We start from the raw sequence: 6,840 nt of genomic DNA on the forward strand, positions 1-6,840 counted from the left end.
AGGCTGGTTGCAGGTGCCCTGTAATCACAGCTACTCGGAAAGCTGAGGGATGAGAATCGCTTGAACTCGGGAGGCGGAGGTTTCAGTGAGCAGACATCGCGCCGCTGCACTCCAGCCTGGGAAATAGAGTGAGTGAGATTCCTTCTCAAAAAATAAAAAAGAAAAGAAATATCAAAATGACAGCAATAAATACCTATTTATCAGTAATTATTTTGAAATTAAATGGATTAAAAAGAAAGATTGGCAGAATGAATGATACAACCATACAAGATACTTTAGATCCAAAGATACAAATAGGTTGAAAGTAAAAGGATGAAAAAAGATATTCCATTATTCCATGTAAATATAACTGAAGGAGAACAGGAATGGCTATACTAATATCAGACAAAATAGACTTTAAATCAAAAAAGTTTACAAGAGACAAAGAAAGGTATTATATATTAATGAAAGTTTCAACACAGCAAGAATATATAAAAATTATAAATATTTACACACCTAATAACAGATCATCAAAACATAAGAAACAAAACCTGACAGATTTACAGAGAGAAACATACAGTTCTACAATTGTAGTTAGAGACTTCAATACCGCATTCTCAATGGAGAAAAAAACCAGATAGAAGAGAAGAAGTACAGAACACAAAAGGCAAAATAAGCCAAATGTACCCAACAACAACAGCCTGGATTTGGGGACCAGACTGCTCACAATCAAATCCTCGCTCTACCTAAGGCTGTCTACATAACACTAAATATGCATCAAAATGAGAAGTAAAATGCTAATTTATTAAAATGTATAAAATGTTTGGATCCACTTTGGCACATAGTAATAACTATATGATCTTTAGCAATTTATTATTTTTCTAATATATGGAAAAGAAAAATGATGAATTAAGTTCCCTGAAGCTCTTTCAAAAAGTCTTTTTCTTATTCAGCACAATAAACTTTATTATTTCTCTAAACAGGTCTAAAATTCTAATTGTAAAATGAAAACCTATCCAATTATATAATATTTCCTCATTTCCAGATATTTGGTACCGGGGTCCTAGTGAAATTCTGCAAATACCCAAAGGATATGGTCAATAAAATAAAAAGCCAGGTTCTCCTGAAAATGCTGGACCAATTGACTATTATCTTCCCAGTTCATTAACCATTTCTAAGAGAAATACTAGCTATTGTTTGGAACATTAGCTAGGCTCTAGTGTTCAACCTCAAGTCCTTGATTTCAACGAGAACTTACTTTCCAGGTTGAAAGTAACTTTCCAGGTATCTTCTTGTTTTCCTTTCATTCATTTATTTGCTTATTCATTCATATAACATTGAGATATATTATTCAATGAGCAAGCTGTTCCCCGCCTGAAGAATCTGTGGTAACCAAGAACTCCTAGACCCATGGGTTATCCTAAACTTGACTTGGCGTGGAGTCCTCATGCCAAACCCTCAAGATAAATAAATAAATATAATAAATATTATATTTATTTTATATTTAATATATTATATTTAATATATTCATTATATTATATTTAATAATCTATTATATTTATTATATTTATTTTATAACCAGGATAAATATATGTATATTTTATATATTTATGCATATAAATTTTATTTACATATATTTTATATTATATATTTGTTTATTCTAAATAACAAAGATAAATACATATGTATTTATATGTATATTTATAAATATATATGTATCTTGGTTATTCTAAACTGTATATATAAAAATATAAATATATATTCCAATAAAATATATATATTTATTTATCTTGGTTATTCTAAACTTCTCCTTCAGATATTTTAACTCCAATTTTGCCTTAATTCTTTGGCTTGTAAAAATAATGCCCTGGGATGCATTCTCCCTATTCTACAGGAGAAAAGTTTGTGTGCTCATGGGCTTGTGGAGGGAGTGGGGCTGTATGTAGCAAGGAGGGAGATAATGTATTGCTAGAGACAGCCAAAAAAAAGAAAAGACAATTACCTGCTGTTAGAGTTCAGCTCATTCAAGGAAAAGCCAACTGACATGTGAAATAAAGAGCATTTCCTGGGGTTTTATAACATGTGTTGCCGACAGCTATGGTGCACAGTTTATCTACAATCAGCTGAGAATTTCTGCTCAGAAGTATAAGAAATGGATTTTTCTCTCTAAATTGGGGCTTAGCAAGGGAACATGGGGAAATGAAGATGTCTGAGAGATTAGAGTCTACAGATTGCAGCATGAATAGTTTGAGCTAGTGACACCTCCCTGCCTTTACTTGTAAGCAACTCTTTCACAGGGAAGTTTCTAGGTTGTAGCAGAGTATTGGTGCCTTTCACAGATATTATTGTTATCATGGGTGGAGCTAGAATGCTTCACTCCCATTGGAGAAGAGATTATAATAAAAATGCAGACACAGGATTGTGGAAGGAGCATTTTTCTAATAAACCCCCAGTTAAAACAGAAATACTTCTATAGAGGAAGTTGAGGTACTACTCATTTAGTTTCATAGATGTTGTTACTATTCAGAAAGCCTTTAACTGAAAATTAATGTGTTAAAACACATTACCACTATCTTCAGCGTATTAAGTTCTTCTGGATCAAAAATTGAAATCAAATAGTATTCAGTATTTTTTCGTCAGTTATTTACATATATAAAATACATATACAAATGTTTCAATATTTTTATATTTTCATCAGTCATTTACATTGTACAAGGTGCTGTTACGTACTGGAGACAAAAATCTATGGCATGCCCACTTTCAAGATAATTTTCGTACTCAATTGTGTTTAGATACTGAGAACTGAATCCAATATACATTCTTTTTTTTTTTTTTTTTTTTTTTGAGATGGAGTCCCGCACTGTGCCCAGGTTGGAGTGCAGTGGTGCAATCTCAGCTCACTGTAAGCTCTGCCTCCTGGATTCACACCATTCTCCATTCTCCTGCCTCAGCCTCCTGAGTAGCTGGGATTACAGGCATATGCCACCACACCCAGCTAACTTTTTGTGTTTTTAATAGAGATGGGGTTTCAATGTTGGCCAGGCTAGTCTTGAACTCCTGACCTCATGATCTGCCCGCCTCAGCCTCCCAAAGTCCTGGGATTACAGACGTGAGCCACCATGCCCAGCCTGACATCCATTCTTGTGTCTATCCTATGCTACCAATTCTCGAACAAAGTATGTTTCTCTGTTTTTGCTGAAGAATGCTTGAATTGGGAAAAAATTACTTAGCCATTTGCTTCAGGAAATAACTGTTCTTGGAAAATGAAACTGAACAAACTAAACAGATAACTTATCAAGAATAACAGCTTGTTTGTCAGTAATCACTTTAAATCCACACTTCGTTGCACCTACCATTCCAAAGCTGTTTTCTTATAAATTTTGCCTAATTCAAACAGTTTCATCCCTTGCAAAGCCTACTTTTTTGTCTTTTGAATAAAAATGACCCTACGCAAGCCTTTATACTATAAGTATTGTGTTCTGAATGCATCCTTTCTAAGACATGTTAAAATTCTGCCAAAGTGATAGTCTCCTTTACTGTGTTATGTTTAATAAATTTAACTTTGTTTTCATGTCTTCAGCAGGTTTTTCTGGTAGCCAGTTTTGGGAGTTTAGCACAGGAGTTGATGGCTTGTTTTTGCCCAATCTAATAGCTAAAAATTGTTTTTACATTTTGAAGGGTAATATATGAAATAATAATATGCAACAGAGACTATCTAATCCTTTTCAGAAAAACATTGCCGATCCTTGCACTAGACTGAGACTTGAGGAATGACATCAACTCTACTACTACTAACTGGATCTGCTACATGGGGCTGCAGGAATTTGAATATTTTGCTGAATCTTTTTGCAATTTACATTATCACCAGTCTTAAGTGTCCATGGTCCTTCCCAGGCCTCTGTCTGCAGTTTTATTGTGATCTGTTTTCTAAAAATGTCTCCTTTTAGTTATTAGAAACAACGTATTTCTTGTTCCAACAAAGTTCCAAGCTACATTTGTTTTAGGTTAGCATGTGAATGTGAATTGAGCAATTGTATATTTTCCTTAATTCTAATTATCATAGTTTATAAATAGAATTATGTTCTGATCTCCCTTCCTTATTACCCACCAAATCACACACAGCTGAAAGAAAATTTGAACTGAATATGTTGAAAAGTTTACAGACTGTTTTGTCTTTGTCAAATATAGTATTAATATCATCGTGGCACATGTTTGGCAGATTTAAAATTATATGGACATATATGATAAATTCAATATACAGCTGGACAATGGTCAGGCCATAAATGACAATAAAATCTGCCCCATAATCCCTGTGGCAACCAGCCCAGGAAGCCAACTATAACCTCTGCAAGCAATCAACCCAGAATGCTCAGCACTTGTCAGTGATTGCCCAGCTTCCACAATGTTTGCCCTTGATTCCAACTCAGGATCAATCAGAGAAAGCCACATATGCTTTGAAACCAGTCACATAGGATGCTCTACTTTTAGGTAGCCCCATGCCAAAAGCCTGCAATCAGGGTAAACTGAAGCTTTTCCTTTTGTCCCCTATAAAGCTTCCCACTCTGCTGACTGCCTCTGAGTCTCTGCCCATTTCAAGTAATGGTGACTGATTCTCTTGCCGCAGTGAGCTCTGCAGAAATACTCTGTGCTTGATCTCATGTAGTGGTCTTTATTTATTTATGCTGTATTTTCAAAGGCAAAAACAAATATATCTTATTTACATACATTCCCCTTTGCTTTTGGTTTTTTTGTGATGGGTTAATCAGCCTGGCATCTGCCACTCTGGAAACAGCCATTTCTCTTCTCCTCCCCCAGTGCTAGGTGTGAACTGTGTGAATGCTTTTGAATATCACTAAGTTACATTTAGTATTAACTTAAAAATTGAGAGTAGAAAGTAAGATACTGCCTGAGCCTGTGAAAGCAGGCACTACCATATGAGAAAATTCTTTAGGTCCATGATATTAAACGTTTTATCTACCTTGCCTTTTATTTGTTTTTTCACTTGAACATTTAGTTGTGTATTTTGCTTTTCTAATTTATTACGACTTTTCCTGGAAAGTGTTTAGTAGTACAGGAACAACATATTGGAATCCTGAAAAATGGATGCTAACCACATATAGAGAATTATAGTTTAAAAGAAAATGTACTAATTAAAACAAGTCTCAACTATTGAGTTCTGAATCTATTTTATTGCAAGTCTAGCTCTATAAAGAGTTTGTGGGTACCTGTGTATTGCACAAGTTAAATGTGAAACACTGAAACTAGTGAAAGATGATTTTATGGAAGGAATGTGTATGTTTCATGAAAAATGATGCAGTAGCAAAAGCCATACAGCAAGCATGTAGCTATCAAAGACAAGCTGAGTATCTCACCCTCTTGACTGCAGTGAGTCCTGCTCCATTAATGACTATCAGAGACTTGCCATTATGTCTTATTGAAAATGTTCATCCATGTTATGGTTAAGGCATTGTGTGCTTGAATATAATAATAAACACTTTACATGTACATACATATAATTTCTTGATTTTAAAACATTCATCATTCCATGTTTTGACTATTCCCAAACCAGGATGTGACTTCGAATTCCTGCCAAAATAATCCTTCCAACCCTAGAAAAAAGAGTTAAGTGCTAATGTAGGCATTACTGCTGCGCGTGCATGAATTCTGCCCTGTGAAAATGATCTCTATTGACAGTATTGCCTCAGTTCAGTTATTTGCACAACTATCACTATATGCAATTGAATTATAACTTACATTTGCACATCATCATGACTGAAAATATTTTACCAAAATTAAACTGAGAAGCAACACTAATAGTAGACTATATATGAGATACTGTAAGTACAAAAAAAGTATAGAATTAAAGTAGAGAAAGATAGTTTTACTTTTCATGCGCTTCTGTGTGAAGAGACCACCAAACAGGCTTTGTGTGAGCAACATGGCTGTTTATCTCACCTTGGTGCAGGCAGGCTGAGTCCAAAAAGAGAGTCAGCGAAGGGAGATAGGGGTGGGGCCGTTTTATAGGATTTGGGTAGATAAAGGAAAATTACAGTTGAAGGGGGTTGTTCTCTGGCGGGCAGCAGTGGGGGGTCACAAGGTACTCAGTAGGGGAGGTTTTGAGCCAGGATGAGCCAGGAGAAGGAATTTCACAAGACAATGTCATCAGTTAAGGCAGGAACAGGCCATTTTCACTTCTTTTGTGGTGGAATGTCATCAGTTAAGGCAGGAACCAGCCATCTGGATGTGTACGTGCAGGTCACAGGGGTATGATGGCTTAGCTTGGGCTCAGAGGCCTGACATTCCCGTCTTCTTATATTAATAAGAAAAATAAAACAAAATAGTGGTAAACTGTTGGGACAGTGAAAATTTTGGGGGGTAATATGGAGAGATAATGGGCGATGTTTCTCAGGGCTGCTTCGAGTGGGATTAGGGGTGGCGTGGGAACCTAGAGTGGGAGAGATTAAGCTGAAGGAAGATTTTGTGGTAAGGGGTGATATTGTGGGGTTATTAGAAGAAACATTTGTCGTGAAGAATTATTGGTGATGGCCTGGATACAGTTTTGTAGGAATTGAAAAACTAAATGGAATAAGAGAAGGAGAAAAACAGGTATAAAAGGTCTAAGAATTGGGAGGACCCAGGACATCTGATTAGAGAGTGCCTAAGGAAATTCAGCATAGTCCTGCCAGCAAAGATTATTTATTTACTTCAAGAGTTAAGAGTGGCAGTTTGGGGATAGCACCAGGAGATATCAGCTGTGATGGCTTGGAGAAACAGTGTAAACCGGCAGTGTAAACAAGAGCAGGGCATGTATGAGTAGTTGAGAATGGTGAATAGGAGTATGACTAGACAGAAGATAGTAGG

General features: G+C 35.8%; 1 annotated feature.

Moving 5' to 3' along the window:
* Positions 5,847–6,411: an enhancer, noted in NCBI's record as "OCT4-NANOG hESC enhancer chr2:84016050-84016614 (GRCh37/hg19 assembly coordinates)". NCBI's record gives its function as "activates a minimal SCP1, AML or CMV promoter by ChIP-STARR-seq in primed H9 embryonic stem cells {active_cell/tissue: H9 hESC(primed)}" and the evidence as "EXISTENCE:reporter gene assay evidence [ECO:0000049][PMID:30033119]".

The sequence above is a fragment of the Homo sapiens genome, chromosome 2 (assembly GCF_000001405.40).
Source record: "Homo sapiens chromosome 2, GRCh38.p14 Primary Assembly".
Taxonomy (NCBI): domain Eukaryota; kingdom Metazoa; phylum Chordata; class Mammalia; order Primates; family Hominidae; genus Homo; species Homo sapiens.